The sequence below is a fragment of the Homo sapiens genome, chromosome 8 (genome assembly GCF_000001405.40).
Source record: "Homo sapiens chromosome 8, GRCh38.p14 Primary Assembly".
Taxonomy (NCBI): domain Eukaryota; kingdom Metazoa; phylum Chordata; class Mammalia; order Primates; family Hominidae; genus Homo; species Homo sapiens.
This window is the reverse complement of record NC_000008.11, coordinates 118,009,099-118,027,344: the sequence shown is the minus strand read 5'-3', so window position 1 is coordinate 118,027,344 and position 18,246 is coordinate 118,009,099. Positions and strand designations below refer to the sequence as shown.

Here is an 18,246-nt window from a genome sequence, read left to right as displayed (position 1 = left end):
GTGTGTGTGTGTGTGTGTGTGTGTGTGTGTGAAAGAAACTGATTTGGAAACTCGAAAACCCCTCTATAAACAGGAACCTGGAAGTCTGTTTGTCCTTTCTTAATTTTCTGATGATACAAATAGATATATCATTGTAAAACTATTCTGTGTACTTGAGTTTCTTTCAAAACACTAACCCTGAGTAGTGCTTGCAATTTCTCTAAAAAGTAAATTATCACAGAAAGTCAGTTTATGACCCATTTTCTGGGGCTAGAACTACCTTTCTTTTTGGGGATGGGGTCTCACTGTGTTGCCCAGGCTGGGCTCAAACTCCTAGGCTCAGGCAATCCTCCTGCCTCAGGCTCCAAAGTAACTGAGACTACAGGCACATGCCACTGAGCCCAGCTGGAAGTACCATTTTTGGTAACTCAGATTCCTATAGCTGTGCATGGGGTCATTACCTTGGACAATCTGATGCCTGAGAAGACTCTGTTTTGTGTTTCCAAATGGACCATCTTATGGACCATCTTTGCTTGGAAAAGGCACTGTCCAGAATGTGTGGCTAATGGATTGTTGAAGGAGCTGGACATGGCCCAGGCAGTCCGGTGAATCAGTGACTGATGGTTGTTTGTAGTAGCTAATGCTGTTCCCTCCCCCCAAAGATAAAAGAACCAAAAAACCATCAAGTGGCTTGATTTGACTATAGCAGCATTTGTGACAGAACTGGGAACCAAATGAAAATCAACTTAGTACTACTCTTCAAGAGATTTTTTTTTTCTCCAGAGGCTTAGCGTAGGTCATACCCCAGATGTTGATGATGAATATATTGATTGCTATCTCAGGGCGAAATCTCAAAAGTTTGTGTTGCCCTTTTAGGAATTTCACAGTTTATATTGACCTATAACCAAGAGGCAGGTTCATTATGTTTAATTGCATTAAAAGATAAAAGAAGTAGAGAAATTGAAAGGAAAAAGAGCCCAGAGATTGTTACCTTTTTATCAAGCAACAGCATGCCACAAACTTTGCATAAATAAAAAATAATAACCTGAGCCTTTCATCTTGGGAATCTAATGAAATAAATGTGTGCTGTTTTCCCCATTAGCCCTCACCTTAGCCAGCCCTTACATTGTGGACAGAGGAGTGATGTCATTATTTGTGAGCTAGATGACTGGCTCAGTAGGTGCCGTGTGGTTCCTAAGAAGATTGTAGGTCTTGCCATTGCGTCTTGTGTCTCTTGCTGTACAGGTGGAAACATCTGTGTGTTTTCATTATGGTGACCGCTGGGTAACTGGTCGCCAACCTCTGTAACTGAAGAAACAGCCCTCACAATAGAGTACACTCTTTTCCCATCCAGAGTGTGGCAGTCCTTTTCTGCGTGAGCCTTTGTCTGCATTTTTACCTCTTGCAAACCCTCCTCCAGCCAGAGATTGATATGCCTGGATGATTTATGGCAGTGATTGTCAGAAACTTTTGAAGCCCATCCAATTTCAGGATTCGGGTTCTCATTTCTTGTCATTTATGGCACATTTGATGAATTCTCACTATCAGCTGACATGTTTCATAATTGTCAAAACTTTGATTGAAGTGGTATTTTTGAAAAAAAAAATTATGGAAGAGAAAAAAAGGAAACAAGACTCCTTCATCACATTTTTTTCTCCTGTGCCTAAAACCGCTTTGCCGGAGGTTCACAGCCCCATCATTTAGCCTCTCAGCTACTTGCTGGCCTGGCAAGTCAGTCTCCTCACTCTCCTTTTACAGTCTTGTGCCTGCATTTACTGGGGCTTTTCTTTTGCTTGTTTGGGCCTTTTTTAGTCCAGATGATAAAAGCTTTCGAAAGTAGCCCTTTGGAGAAAGTTTCTAAGCTTTCCCTTCAGCTGTCTTTCAAGGTATATCCGGTGGGGCATGAATAGATAATAATAGCAAGCTCTTCTCTCATTTTGTTATCTTGACCTAGTGCGGTTTGTTTTGTTTTTGTTTTTATTCCATGAGCCAACATTCTTTGGCTGGAATGTTGGCTCTCCAGGTCTTTGGCTGAGGTCAAAACTTAGAAGTCTGCTCCTGTACTTTGGAGTTCTCCTCCTCATGGTGAAGCCCACAGCGGTGAGCCAGGAGTGGATCTGGTTCCTTCATCTGTAGAGTTTTGTTTTTGTTTCTTTACCTACCTTAGTCCTGTGTCTCTTTCTAGGTCAGAGAAAACTTCTTATAGCAAATGACTCCTGTCCCTTCCCACTCTGACCCCCAGTACAGTGACAGGGAATTCCTGCTTCTCCTAGCTTGTCCTTTCTCAGTTTCTTTCCTCAGAAGCAACCACTATCTGCAGTGCCTTTTGTCTCTTTCTAGATATACTTCATGCATAGATAAGGATTCATACATACACGTACATAGAAACACACATATAAACACAGACATGCGAATATCAAGATATAGTTTGAAATCATAATTCTGAACTTTCACTCTAGTGTTTAAAACACATCAATATTTAATATCTCACTGCTGCTAGTTGGATGAAAGATGACCATTTTATCATGCTCTACAAGGATCATGCCTCCTGTGATCTGATTTCCCTCCAACTCTCCAGCCTCATCCAGCACTTTTCTCCTCTTTCTCAGACCTCTAGGCCCACTTCCTGTTCTTCTGTTAATTCCTCAAACAAGCCTTCCCTTGTTTCTTATATTAGCTGTCACTCTGTTACATTCTGTAGTTTCTTGACTGTTCATTTAGGGCATTTAGCACAGTTTGTAAGTTCCATATTTGTGTGATTATTTAAATAGCATCTTTCTGCCTCTACTGAACTGCAAGTTCCAAGAAGACAGAAATGAAGCTGTTTTTTTTTTTCTTTTTTTTAAAGCTGTTTTATCCCTAGAGTCTGTGCATTACCTGGAATATAATAGGATCTCCGTAGATCATAGTTGAATGAATGAAAAACAAATGGCTGGCTGGCTGGATGAATGAATGTATGATGTAGAAACTTCCTTTGGGTAGGGAGGAAATGCTACCTTTTGGAAAACAGTTGTGTTTTAGTATCCAAACACATGTTTTCTCTGTAGACCTTAGGTATTTTCTTTTTGTTGTTTCTAACCATTTTCTAAGAAGTCAGTTATTCTAGAAAGGCTGATCATAGGCACCGTCAAGGAAAATCTTGGCAGTTATTAAGGGTATTAGCTTACAGGGTTTACATTTTCTCACCTTCCTTGATCTCTTTTGTTTCTACCGTGGTTTATTTTTTGAAACATAAGTAGTCCCTGTTTTTCTTCTAAGATTTCTCCCACATTTTCATGGCTTAATGGGGCATCCAGGAGATAATAAGTGGTGGATGGGAGATAGGGGGAAGGAGAAAGTGAGCAATGTCCACTCTAGACTTACAGTCCTCTGAAGGCAAGATTAGGGTCCCACATCTTTGTATTCCCAGCATGTGGCACAAGGTAGGAACTTCACATGCAGTGTGGAGCCACAATGTGAGGGTGAACAAATATGCAGGAAGAAAGGAAGAAATGGCATTGCTAATTCTGGAACTGGCATTATCGTTAATGAGCGGCTCTGTATCTGTGCTCAAGTCTTGCTTCTAATAAGCTGCTGGGGATATGTATTACCTGCTGTTGCAGCTGCTATTTCTTTCAAATTTACTATTGCTTTTTCCCTTTTTAGTTTCTTCATCTACCTCTTTAGTGTTAATCTTTGTGTCTAAAAAAAGAAAACATAGAGTTTGGAGCAAGGACAGAAAGATTAATTTCTACGTACAGCTCTGCATCTGGACGTGGTCCTCATTTATTTTTGAAGGCTGAGGGTTTAGTTTATGATGACTACATTTTCCTAGTAGCCTGAGAGCCTGCTAGGAAGGCTGTCAGTTTATATTTCTATTGGTCCACTTCTTGCACTTAAAATGGCTCAGAGAGTGAAGCCATTCCTATTTTAAAGCTCCCCTTCTGCTGACAGCTTTCTTCTTAGCCAAAGCCAGGAAGAAGTATTTGCTATTACCCATTGTTTTAGATGTGCTAACACCATGCTAATTGCCAATAGTCAGGAATGGTCTTTCTTAATAACAATTCCTGAGTTATTTATAATTAACCCATTGTTTATATCCTAGTAATGTTATTGTATTTGAAGTGATTGAAAATAGCTTAATCTGTCTTAAGTGAATAATTTCTCCTTGTTTACCTTATTCCCAGCAAACTTCCTTTTTCCTGATAATACAAAAGTAAACTTTATTCTATTTCATCCTAAGTGATGAAACTATTTTGCCCATTTATGAAACATTTTGAATACTTACAATTGGTTATTTTCCAGGAAATATTGGGACCTTGCCTTGAAATTTAGTATGGTTTATGACTTGGTTTATGACACCAGACAGAAGCTACAGATATGAATCCTCTAACCACCTGTTCCTATTTTCCTACCCTTCATTAATTTGACTTTTGACTTTTGATAAAGTTATCACATATTAAAATATACGTGGGTGCTAAGCCTTATACTGTGAATGTTCCAGGGTTCAAATATTTTATTTTTACTGCCTTCCCCAGGCATTACCTCCATAAATGATAGAACATACTTTCTTTTTGTCATGAGAAGTAATTGGTTGTTTCTTTTAACCTGTCTCGTTGCATTCCAGAAAAATAATAAATCTTTAAAATTATTAAAATAATGAGCAACAGTTATAGACATTGTTGGGTTAACCTTGGGAGTCCAAAGCTGATCCTAAGAGGAATTAATAATATATCTTTTTTTTTTTTGGGCCAGGCGTGGTGGCTCATGCCTGTAATCCCAGCACTTTGGGAGTCCGAGGCAGGTGGATCACCTGAGGTCAGGAGTTCGAGACCAGCCTGACCAACATGGTGAAACCCTGTTTCTACTAAAAATACAAAAATTAGCTGGGCGTGGTGGCATGCGCCTATAATCCCAGCTACTCAGGGGGCTGAGGCAGGAGAATCGCTTGAACCTGGGAGGTGGAGGTTGCAGTGAGCCGAGATCGTGCCACTGCACTCCAGCCTGGGTGACAGAGCAAGACTCCATCTCAAAAAAAAAAAAAAAAAAAAAAAAAAAAAGAATATATATGCGCCCGGCCAAGTATATCTTTTTTTAATATATTGCCTCCCCCTGCATTAATTTTTTTCTTGCTTTCCCAGTTATATATGCATATATATAAACTTCACAGATACCAAATAGGTTATTGCTCATAGGTAATATAATTTGTACCTGATGTAAAGGCTGCAACTGAGGTTTCACTGATGGTTGGTTTACCTGGAATTTTGTGAGTTGGAAGGCTTACTGAAATGAAGGAAAATGCTTATGTATGACCCAGCTCTCTCTCTACGCATTGACCAAAATAGGTTGATCAGGGCAACAGAAATGATTAATAGGATAGTGCAGATTTGGATAAAGAGCAAAAAGATTAGGATTTGAAAGTTGGAGGATGAAGGGAGTCATGTAGGATATAGTCAGGTGGAATTCGGACTTGCTCACAAAATCCCAGAATACTGTAACAAAAGGGCACTTCTTTATGCTAGAAGGAGATAATTTCACTTTAAATAAAGGGAAATGGAATGTCTTTGCCCAGAGGATAACAAGCAAATAGAACTCATTTTCCCGAAGAACCTGTGTAGTCTGGGGTGTCAGGGATGTGTGTTCAAGAAAAATTTAGGCAAAACCCAATGATAGCTTCTCAAGGGTAAGTTTCAAACATTCAGACAATATCCCTAACCCTTGAGTGAACCATCACACAGGGAAACGATTCTGTTGTACAGAATATGTTTTGATGCCACTGTCAGACATAAAGTCTGGTGGGAACTGGACTTCTACTCTGACCCAGGGTGACAATTTTTATGTTTTTAAAATCGGCCGTCTTCCAGAAGTGTTCATTTTACAGTGCTTATATCTCAGTACCTGAACTTCTGCAGAAGAGTTTTATTTGAGTCATAAATTTCTAATGTCAAAACCTCCCTGACAATTATTAGCCAAATGTTTAGCCCAAAAGAGAGATTAAAAACATATATCTTGTAACCTAGCTACCCAATGAGTTAACCCAGAGAGAATTTTCATGTTGGAAGTAGTTTCATAAGACTTTGGGGAGAGATACCTGCAGATCTGACATATTAGTGGTCAGAACAAAAACCTTTGTAATACATGATCAACTGTCTGCCATATGAAAAGCGTATTCATAGAAGCAACTCAAAGTGCACAGTTAGGCAGTCCTTACCAATTAAAGCCTCCCTCTTTTAAAAATTTTTTAAATAAGAGTTCATATTTGCACAATAAATGATTTATTGAGAAATTTTAATGTGTAAGCTTCCCACTGACTCTAACTGAAATTAGAAAGCTTTGAAATGAACTCATAAATATTGTTCTTACATACAAAATACACTGGAAGCTGTAAAATGTAAAGCAGTTTATCATTGAAAAGCTAAGCTACATTAAAGAATGTAGATTTGGTTTAACTCTATCTTCCCCACGTGATGCCGAAGAATTTGCGAAGTACTTTTTATGTGTTTTGTTTTATTTGATCTGTGTAACTACCCATTAAAGTTAGAAGGAGGGTGGGTATTACTGTCTTGGTTTTATAGCCAAGGTTGCTATGGTCAAAGAAGGCTAAGTGACTTGCTGGAAGGTCACTGATACAGCAGAGTGAGGGCTGAAGAACACACATACTCTGTGACTCTGAGATCTCCTCTCCTTCATCCGTGCTAACCCATAATGTAATACTATTCGATCAGGCACAGTCCTGAAATAACCTCAGAGTGCTTAATGCTGAAGGGCATATTCTGTGTTTTAATCAAAGAAGACTATGACAGCAAGAATTAGCTGCACCAGCCCCTTTGTCAAATGTTGGTTAGCTGAATATTTGAAAAAGCTCAATATTTGTGTCTTTGATCAGATAATGCACTAAACATTGATTTATAGAGGATTATCATAGCATCTATAACGTGTTTTAAATAACACAATTAAAATAGTTATGATTTTACATAATAGGACAAGATCGTAATGTAGTGCAACCACTGAAAGTGAAGGTATGTAAAGACCAGAGTCTTTTCCCTAGACTACTAGAATTAGTAGTTCCTTCTAATTCTAGCAAGGCTGAAAACTTGTAAATAGACTCTTTAGTAGTGTTAGAGTGAACTGTTTACATTTTATGTGTCTGTAGGAACTGAGGCCAGATGGGTCGATTGCATCCTCTAGTAATTTCCAAATGAAGTTTTATTAAAATCCTTTCCAGACAAGCATTTTTATAAGAATGACTAATAAAACCCCAAACACAAATTTTAGGTTCTCTTATTTTATAAAAACATGCAAGTTGCTTCTGAAGTTATTGGAAGACCAGTAAAATAATAAATCAGTAAAGATGGAAGAAGAGCAGAGACTTTGAGCAACCCCAAAATAACCAGGGGTGAGCAACATTGCTGGGCATCTTTTGCACATTGAACTGCTCAGGGCTCTGAAACATGAGACTATGAAAGAAGCATTCCTCATGCAATGGGTTTATTGCTTGGTTATTTCACCAAGCACCATTTATTGAAAGGCAGTGTTCCTGGTGGCTAAGAGGGCAGAGTCTGGAATCTGCCACCACCACTTACCAAGTGGGTAACTTTGGTCAGAGTTATTTAAGTTTTGTCTCAGTTCCTCCAACAATAAAAAGGGGATGTTGACAATACTTAATACATAGCGAGTGCTTAAAATTGTGTGTGACACACAGAAAACTTCATTCTGTTCAGGTCACCCTGTGAGCATTGTTGGGTATGGTGGGAAAAGAAAGACACTAAGATCTTAGAGATGACTTCAAGGTTCCTTTTCTGGTCCAAGACGATGTACGATGAATAGTCACAGGAAATGACTCTTTTCTGCGATAGAATCTGGACCCACCATTTACCTTGTGGTTCTGCTCACTGTTTAGTGCTGAGTTGCTAATTTTAATGATTCTTCCTGTTTTAAGAAGCATGGCTCTGAGTCGTATTCTCTCTCTCTGCCTGTCTTTCTCTCTGTCCACAAACACACACTTTTTGAGTACAACAGCACAGAAGACGATTTAGAGATACATGTGCTCAAGACTTACCTCTCTCTGTATAAAAGTTTGAATCTCAATTACTCCCATTTCCTCTTTCTTTCTTTCTTTCTTTCTTTCTTTCTTTCTTTCAATCGTACTGCTATGTCTTACTGCTTCCTAAGTGAAAGGGGAAAAGAATCAAAGTTAGGGAAATCAAAGGTTTCAGAAATGAAAAACTGGATTTCTAAAGCACTCACATTGTACCAACTTATTTTGTGCCTGTTCCTTTAAGTTTTTTTTTTTCTTTTTTTCCTCTGCCTCTAGAGCTACCAAAAGCACACTGATCAGTTTTTACAGCTTTGCCATGATAGGTGCAGTAGTTGCTTTTTTATTGAACCGTAGATTGCAGCATTATAAAACACACTCATTCAGAGGAGTAATGAAGGCCATTTTTAATTGCATTTGGGAAGCAGGGTACTATTATTAAATTATACCTATGTCTGTATTGGAAAAAAGAGAGAGAAAACCAGGTTGTGTTTTCTTTGGGATTTGAGGTTTCCCAGAGCTGGAGTGAATTCAGGGTTGCGTGACAAAATTTGGAACTTCAGCCTTTTGGGATTGTGAGTCAGAATTTCCCCAGTCCTGTGATTAACCTCATGCACCCACAACTGTTGTAAATCAAACATCCAAGGGCTTAGTAATAACGAAATTTATTATTTCCTGGAAGATAACTCTCAATGTATGTGCGTATACAAGTAAGACAGAGTGGCACACACAGATTTTTACTTAAAGATTGTTGTTATACACTGTATTAGTTTCCTAGGTCTGCTGTAACAAAGTCTATAAACTTGGTGGATTAAATAACCCAAACCTCACAGTTCTGGAGGCCAGAAGTCAAGATCAAGGTGTTGCCAGGGCTGTTTTCCTTCCGTGGGCTGTTAGAGGGAGTCTGTTCCATATCTCTTGCCTAGCTTCTGGGGATTTTCTGGCAATCTTTGGTGTTTCTGGCTTTATAGAAACATCATCCTGATCCCTGCTTTCATCTTCACCTGTTTTTTCCCGTGTGTATGTGCATACATGTGTGTGTGTTTTTCCAATTTTTCCCCTTCCTATAAGGACACCATTCATATTGGCTTAGGCACCCACCCTACTCTGGTATGACCTCATTCTAACTTAACTAATTACATCTGCAATGACCCTATTTCCAAATAAGGACATATTTGGAGGTACTTGGAGGCTGGGTCTTCAACTTATGAATTTTGCAGAGGACACAGCTCAACTAGTAACATACACCTATAGATCTGTCTTTAGTGGATATGTATATATCACACTGTTCTATACATTGGAGAAGGGTGAAAATTAATTGTAAGAAAAAATTGCTTGTGCAATGAATAGCACTATAATCCCCTTCTTGACAGTTAAGGGAATCATTCTGGAAAGCGAAATTGCTCTGAGCCAATGTGTGGAAAATTCTGTGCAAGAGCTCATTCCTTTTGTTGCATTTTTTCAAAGATTCTTTTGGCAGTGCTGGGCTCGGTCCAGATGCCTTCCACATCAGGTGGTTTAAGCATGTGTGTACATGATCGTGTGCAGGGTTGTGGGAAGCCAATTACGGTTGGAAACAGTTGTTTAGCTGGCAATTAGATTCCTCACAGTCTCGAATTATGTTGCTTTAAATTAAGATTATGCAGATTTGAGTTGCTTTGATAATTTGCAAAAGCCATTTTGGGGTTATAACTAAAAATGTAATCTGCCAATTAGGAGATTTTCTACCTGATATCTGTTTTGTTCATTGGACTGTGGACCCATTTTAAATATTTATCATCTGCTTTCTAAACCAATGGCAAGAGTGTCTGCATACCAGTGTGGTGAGGGGAGATACAGTGGTGGAGGGGAGATACAGTGGTGAGGGGAGATAAGTCCCTGAATCAGACTTAGCTTTCTTGAGGACTCAGTGCTGACTTTGTTACTGTTTACTTTAGCAACTCAGGTAAAAACATGCGTCAAATAACTCTTTTGTTTCATATAAAACCTGAGGTTTTGCAAGAGACAAAACCTCTTAAAAGTGAGATTTGTTGTTTAAATAAGAAATAGTGTTCTATTATTAACCCAGGCCAGCTGAGACAAGCTTTTTAATTAGCCTAAAAAGAGAGGATAATGTATAAGGAGAATGAGGTAGGTTTTACTTAGTAATGTCTTGGAGATTTAAAAACTTATCCTATGGTGATCAGATTCAGATTCAAGCAGACTAACGGATAGCAGTATTTTCCGTTCAAGATGATGGACATCTTATCTTTATAAATGATTATACCGGTCCGTCTGGGAGAACAAGATGCTAAATGTTACATATTCCTTCCTTCTTTCATTGGAAGTTCATTGGAAATTTTATACACGTACCATGCATACAGAGAAGTTCGTGCATCACAAAGATTCAACTCGATAATTTTTCACAAAGTGAACACGTCTATAACCAGCACCAAGATCAAGAAATCGAATGTCACCAGAACTCCAGAGGCTGCTTGTGTCTGTTCCAGTCACTGACTCAGAATTTTGTGATGGCATGGAAAGCTTGGCTTGTTGTCTGCCGGCAGTGAGTATTGATGATTTTGGGAACACGTTTCCATTCACAGTGCCTTTTCAGTTGTAGGTTAGTTTTTACTGGGAGCAGTTTCATGCTTCTTGTTCATTCTGCTAGAGACTGGGGTTAGCTCCTTAGAGTTAAGCCTTTTGGTGAGCATAATGCAGAGCAGAAGATGGCCTTTACTGCAGCCGGGACAAAGTCTTCCAGGTGCTGCCTGCCTTCCTCTCTTCCCACCAGACTAAATTCTTTGTGGTTCCTTGAAACAAAGGTGGCCTTCCCCTTTACCTCCAGGTCTTGGTCCTGTGGCTTTCCTACGTCAGGATCCCATGCCCTCTGGCCCCGTCCTACTGCATTCATTTCCCAAGGCTGCTGTAACAAAGTACCACAAACGGAGTGGCTTTATTTATTCATTTATTTATTTTTGAGACAGAGTCTCTCTCAGTCACCCAGGCTGGAGTACGGTGGCGTGATCTTGGCTCACTGCAACCTCTGCCTCCCAGGTTCAAGAGATTCTCATGCCTCTCCCACCCAAGTAGCTGGGATTACAGGTGTGCACCACCATGCCTGGCTAATTTTTTTTATTTTTGGTAGAGATGGTGTTTCTCCATGTTGGCCAGGCTGGTCTCAAACTCCTGGCCTCTAGTGATCTGCCCACCTCGGCTTCCCAAAGTGCTGGGATTATAGGCGTGAGCCACCACGCCCCGCCTGGAGTGGCTTTAAACAACAAAAATCTATTCTCTCACAGATGCGAAGTCTAGAAGTCCAGAATCAAGGTGTTAGCAGAGTCCTGCTCCCTTGGAAGCCTATAGGTTTCCTTCCTTGCCTCTGGTAGCTTCTGGTAGCCCCAGGCATTCCTTGGTTTGTGGCACAGCCTAACTCCAGTCCCTGCTGCCACCTTCACTTGGCCATCTTCCCTCTGTGTCTGTGCATCTCTCTCTGTCTTCACATGGCATTCTCTTCTTTGTGTCTCTTTCCTTTTTTTATAAGGACAGCAGTCAACTGGATTAAGGGCCCTCCCCACTCCAGGCTGGGGTGACAGCTGCAACAACTGCTTTTTCAAATAAAGTCATATGCTGAGGTGCTGGGGTTTAGGAATTTGGCATATCTTTTTGGGAGACACAGTTCACCCATAACATCTGCATTACCCCCTTCTTAGTTTAGATGCCGTCTTTTCTAGGAACTCTTCTGCCGTGTTCCTTCCCCCAACATCTGGCTTTGATGTCCCTCTTGACACTGGAACTCTCTTGTCATGCTTTCTAGCATCTCTCATAATTGTTTTTTTGTTTTTCTTCTCTGCCGGACTCTGAGCAATTTGATGTCAGGAATAATTTAGGGTATTTTAGAATTTTTTTTCCAAATTATTAGAAACTTTAGATCGTGGAATTTTGGATACATTTATGCATTTTGATGTAACCTGAAATATTTGTAACCGAGTCATGGTCTTCATGTTCATTTTGCGGGGAAGAAGTGATACCTATTGGTAAAAGAAAAGGCTTGGGTTAAACATTACCCCCTCTCTCGAGTTTCTGTGATCATGACAAACATGGATTCTAAATCCTTGGCTTGAGAGCACATGAATTGCCGAGCAGATGTGGCGTCAGCGCTTGCAAGGCTGTAAGCAGCTTACTGATCCAGCAGTTTAAAGACTGTTTACTGGCAGTGGCAACATTACTTCTGGTTGCCTGTCTTAATTCATTTTAGATTAATCTGTCTTGCAGTTCGAAGGAAAATGAATTGAGTCAGTAACTTCAAGAGTTATGTAAAATCTGTACAGTGCTAAATAATTGAATGGGGTTTTATGTATGGTCTTTAAATTGGAATGTCAATTTGACACAAATGCTCCAAAACAGAGTGTTAGATGAGCTGATCTGTTCCTCATATAAAAGCTTTGAAAATTCCATTCTTGTATCACTCTGGAATTCACCGTTCCCATCCCTTGCAGAATATTAATGTTAACTTTGGGGAAGGTGAGTCTGCTTGTGTAACTCTTGGGCCTGGGGTTGAGGTTTTAGGGTAATGGTACCCAAACTTGAACGGGTTTAAGAACCACACGAGGAGTTTGTTAGGAAGGATGCTTGGCTGGGCATGGTGGCTCCTACCTATAATCCCAGCACTTTCGGGGCTGAGGCGAGGGGATCACTTGAGCCCAGGCATTTAAGACCAGCCTGGGCAACATAGCAAGACTCCATCTCTATTTAAATTTAAAATAAATTAAAAAGAAAAAAGAAGAAGGATGCTTTCTGGGTCCAGCTCCAGAAATTCTAATTTGGTTGTTCTGTAACTGGGCTCAGGGAAGTCCTTTGGCATTACAGGTGGTTCTAATGCTGACATTCTCAGACCACATTTTAAAGAAATAACTGGTTGAAGGGATGCACGGACATGAGAAGGAGAGTATGTGAACTCCTGAGAGAAAATTCAAGACTATTTTGCATAAAATACATTTATCACAACCAGGCAGACCAAAAATGACCTTTTTGGGTGGGATAAAGGGGATATTTTGCAGACCCAAAGAAAATAAATTCTTGAGATTTTTTCCCAGAAATCCATGGGAGGAAGGCTGAAGTATCCTTATTCTTATCAGAAAACATATTTGAATTTTATTACCAATATCTTTAACCCCATTTTGTAGATGGGAAATCTTTGAGGCTCAAAGAGCAAAGAAGGCTAACATTTGTTGAGCACTTAATAAATGAAACTGTCAATATTAGTAATTATTATCGCCATCATCATTATCTTTATTTAACCTATAGCACAGCCCTGTGAGGTGTTATCACTGCCATTTACAGATATGTAAAGCAAGATTCAGGCAGTTCAGATAACTAGCTAGGATTACACATTGAGCTTGTAGTGAGCCAGGATTCAATCGCAGTTCAACTTAACTCCAAAATCCATATTCTTTTTACTGCATCAAGGTAGATTTAAGATCTTTACATGACAAGAGTTGCCAGGTAAAATGTAGGAGGCCCAGTTAAATTTGATTGTCATATAAATAATGACTAGTATAAGTATATCCCATGAAATATTTGAACATACTTACATTTAAAAATAGTGGACCATAGTATACTAGAAAATTCGTTGTTTATCTGACATACAAGGTTAACCAGGTATCCTGTATTTTCATTTGCTAAAATCAAGCAACCCTGTATGTGGGTAGTGGGTTTTCAGATTGTATGATCGTACTTTCTGACTTCTGACTCCAAGTCCATCCATCCTTTCTATGTGCCACATTCTGTTCTGTCTCATTCTTGGGTCTCTGCTGTCCTCTTGGGGAAGAGAGTGAATGGCTTACCTACTCTAGCCCCTGTACTAAGGGGCCCAGTGGCTCATGCCTGTAATCCTAGCACTTTGGGAGGCCGAGGCGGGTGGATCATCTGAGGTCAGGAGTTTGAGACCAGCCTGGCCAACATGGTAAAACCCCGTCTCTACTAAAAATACAAAAATTAGTTGGGCGCAGTGACGGGCTCCTGTAATCTCAGCTACTTGGGAGGCTGAGGCAGGAGAATTGCTCAAACCTAGAAAATGAAGATTGCAGTGAGCTAAGATTGCGCCACTGCACTCCAGCCTGGTGACAGAGTGAGACTCTGTCTCAACAACAGCAACAACAACAACAACAAAGTAGCCAGGTGTGGTGGCCCATGCTTGTAATCCCAGCTACTAGAGAGGATGAGGTGGGAGGATCGCCTGAGCCTGGGATGTTGAGGTGCAGTGAGCTGTGATTGTGCCACTGTACTCCAGCCTGGGCAACAGAGAGAGATTCTGTCTCAAAGAAAAAAAAAACATCAGTGAACACATAGAAGTAGTTCACCTTTTCTTCACCCACATTATGCATGTTTTCATTTGCTTAATTTTAGAGACGAAGGAGTGAGAGCCAGTTAGTTGCCTTACTAACGATAGAAAGAATCAGGCCACCATTCTGCTACAACAAATTTAGGAAAAGGCTTTTATTTTGGGTATGATTACAGTCAGAGCAATAAGGGTGAGTTAGAAAATGGAACAACAGAACCTCCTGGGGTCTTTTTTGTGAGAAAAATAATAATGTTTTGGTTAATGTTAGATTGAATGTCCATTATGTGCCAGGCAATTTACATGCATCATTGTTGCAGGCTGCCCTGAGAGGTAGTTATTTTTATCAGCCCCATTTTAAAGATGTGGAAACTGATAGAGATGTGATGTGCACAGCCCCAGGTCAAACAGCAGTGAGACGCAGAGCTGGAATTTCAGCCAGGTGTCTCCACCCTGGAGGCCTGTTCTTAGTGCACTGTGCTGCCAAGGCTAAAGCCTTTTATCTGGGCCTGGTCTCTGTCCTAGAGACTGCCTTGTCGGGTGGCCTTGTGGAAATCTGCTCTTTGGCTTGGGGAGGCAGACACTGCACCAGCAGCTTGTTCCATCTAGCCTTAGGAAGCTTCACCTTCCCGGACAAAAAGGGTCAATCCAAAAGTGGCTTTTGACACCTGTGCCAAACTAGGAAGCCGCAGTGGCTTCTTCGGGAATTAGGCCTTAGCCCCGTGGAAGAAACTCTGTCCTGTGTGGTCTTCTGTGTGCAGTGGAAACTTTCAGCAAGGCTTCTAAATTCTTGATGATCACAGGATCGCTTTGCACCGAAAACTGGCATCTGGCCTGCGCTTCATTGAGGGTTCCCTACTTTTGGCGAGAGCTTTTGAAGGCCTGGGTCTGTGAGTTTTCCTTTATTAGTAAATGATAACAAAGCACTTTAAAGAAAGGAGACACGTCCGTGGTGGTAGTTCTTGCTGTGTGAAGAAAGGGAGCACTGGATCTGAGAACAAACCTCTCCCAAGTTGGTCCCTGGGGCTCCTCCTGCTGCTGCTGCTGGGAGCCCCTTCCTTGCACCAGTGGTCGGCTGCTTCCCATGTTCTCTCGCGCTCTCTGTAGGACTCTGCCTGCGATGACTGTCCTCCCTTCCTGAGCCATTTATAAAAACAGACTGTTTCCATTTCTAAGTGACTAAAGGGATTCCTTGAAGTAGTGAGATCAAAGATGCGTTTGGAATTTGTCTCTGAGTGAATACTAACGGCTTGTCATGGAGACATGTCACAGGGGAGCCCGATCTTGGGAAAACCAAATGAAAGCCTTAGGAGCCAGAGAGCGATCAGGGTGGGGAGTGACAGATGCAGGGAATTTTGGATCAGACAAACCAGAAATGATCACTTTCCACATATGCGACTTTGGGTGAGTTGTGTTTGTATCTGTGAACCTCAGTTTTCCTAATCTGAAATAGCATTAGTCATGCCGACCTCAGAGAGTCCTAGAAATTAAGTGACTATTATGTATAAAATGCCAGGCATGGTGACTCAGATCCAGTATTTACTCGATACTTTTTCCCCTCTTCATACCCTAATATGGTAATGGAAAATGGATTTTGATGGATTTTGTAGGCACATTTTAAAATTAAAAGCTATTGCAGAATTCCAGCTAGTCATTCACTGGTGTTCATAAGGTTAGTGGGTGCCTACTACGTTCCAGGCTCACTTTAAGTGGCTGGGGAATGGAGTATTATGAGACAGACACGAGTCCTGCCTCTTTGTAGCTTCCATTCTGGACCGGGAAGTCGGTAACAGACAAAGCAGCAGAGGGAGTACACTTTTAATGTCAGGCAGGGAAAAGAGATATGAGAGGATTTGGCTGTGGTAGTCTGTGAGGGCCTCTTTGAGGAGGTGTCGTTTGCATATAACACTTTCTCATGGTGAAGTGGCTGCTATGCTATGCTGACAAATAGCCATAGCTGACCAGATGAGTCCTTCCCACATTGCAAACAGGTTTTCATGTGCACATCTTGATGGCTCTCCCATTTCCTTACCCCTCTTCTTTCCTGCAAGCTCCTGTTGTCCTCTCAGTGTCATATTACTGAACAGAGTTGAATTACCCACAGAAAGCTTTCATTAATCTTGCTGTCCCATTGGGGTGTTACTGTAAACCTTGGCACCCAGAGCGTCTGCCACGGAAGTGGCTTCTAGCAAGGGGAGAAGGTGAAGCCTGAGATGGGGTAGAGTGAGGAAGAGTGAGATGTGAGCCAAGAGAGTCCTTAAACATTTCATGAGGTTCCACAGAGCCTGCGATCACACTCTTGCGGCCGTGCCGTTGCCAGTGAGAATTGATGCCTTCAGCCCAGGGTACTGGGAGCCTCCCAGCAAGGTGATGTGCCACGTAAACATGCTCCTAAAGGACCTGAATGCTAATATCCATAGGAACTGCTCTGCAGCTTCTTTTAATTAGCTGAGATGGATTTTGGGAGGTCAGCGTAACACATTCAAGTGAAATTTATGTTGGTTTTCTTTGTAAACTGTTGCAGTTGGAATTCTTCCCAGTGAGTGGTCAAAGTGCTCTTTTTTGCTTGTTTTGATGAGATTTGGGTAGAGGTGAAATAGAGGTGGGGGGTGAAAGTAGGCCAAAAAATTTGAAAATATACTTTTTTTTTTTTTTTTTTTTGAGACGGAGTCTCCCTCTGTCGCTCAGGCTGGAGTGCAGTGGCGCAATCTCAGCTCACTGCAAGCTCCGTCTCCCGGGATCACTCCATTCTCCTGCCTCAGCCTCCCGAGTAGCTGGGACTACAGGTGCCCGCCACCACGCCCGGCTAATTTTTTGTATTTTTAGTAGAGATGGGGTTTCACTGTGTTAGCCAGGATGGTCTCGAGCTCCTGACCTCGTGATCCGCCCGCCTCTGCCTCCCAAAGTGTGAAAATATACTTATATCCTGCCAACTCTAAGTCCTAACATCCATCTTGCAATAGGCAAATGAAGACACTGATGGACAAAGGTTATTCTTACTTTTTATCTGAGCTCAGGGATTTGGTTTTATTAGCTCTTTAGCCTACCTGTTAGCTCTTAGCCACTTCTTAGAACCCAATTCCCTCAGCAGTTGAAGACCTCCTTGTTTTGCACTAAATACGCATTTGGTCCAGGTGAGTATAGACTAGCGGTTCCCAACCTTTTTGGCACCAGGAACCGGTTTCGTGGAAGACAATTTTTTCACGGACCAGGAGGGTGGTGTGGGGATGGTTTCAGGATGAAACTGTTCCACCTGAGATCATCAGGCAGTAGTTAGACTCTCATAAGGAGCGTGCAACCCAGATCCCTCACGTGCACAGTTCACAATAGGGTTCACTCTCCTATGAGATTCTAATGCCACCAGTGATCTGACAGGAGGCAGAGCTCAGGTGGTAATCCTCGCTTGCCTGTCACTCGCTTCCTGCTTTGCAGCCCGGTTCCTAACAGGCCACGGACTAGGGTCGGTCTGCTGCCCAAGGGTTGGGGCCCCCTGCTGCAGACCCAGTGTTGGTATATGCAAATATTGCTTGCCCTTTTGGAGTCTGGAAATGTTGGCCACTGTCTGGTCATTCACTTGCTTTGACTCACCCTTTCTCCACGTCCTTTTCTCAACTTTCCCTCTGTGGATTAGAGCCACAAATCTATGCCCTCATTTTCCAGTCCTGAAAATGGAGACATGTGACCTGGCATAGTTTTTGTTGTTTCTTCCAGGACTGAAGTAATCTGGGAAATGTAGTTTGGCTGCCAAGAATTTGGCCTTTCCTAGACACATTGCTGGTTGATTAGAACAACAGAGGAGAATGTTAGTCTGGGAGGCGTGCTCACATTCCCAGTGTAGCTCAGGGGACCCTTTCACCAGATAGGACTCACAGACTTCTCAAGTCCCTATTGCGATGTGGCTTCTGGGACACCTTCAACCTCTGTCCCTGGTAAG

At 41.5% G+C, this 18,246-nt stretch overlaps 1 protein-coding gene across 1 annotated transcript in view, besides 1 other annotated feature; it reads left to right on the top strand.

The window, feature by feature from the left end:
* EXT1 (exostosin glycosyltransferase 1) overlaps positions 1–18,246 on the top strand; it is a 317,337-nt gene that overhangs the window by 84,482 nt on the left and 214,609 nt on the right. The window lies entirely within an intron of this gene.
* Positions 7,803–9,002: an enhancer, noted in NCBI's record as "P300/CBP strongly-dependent group 1 enhancer chr8:119030582-119031781 (GRCh37/hg19 assembly coordinates)". NCBI's record gives its function as "activates an origin of replication core promoter dependent on BRD2, BRD4, P300/CBP, MED14 and CDK7 cofactors, with strong dependence on P300/CBP, by STARR-seq in HCT116 cells {active_cell/tissue: HCT116}" and the evidence as "EXISTENCE:reporter gene assay evidence [ECO:0000049][PMID:35650434]".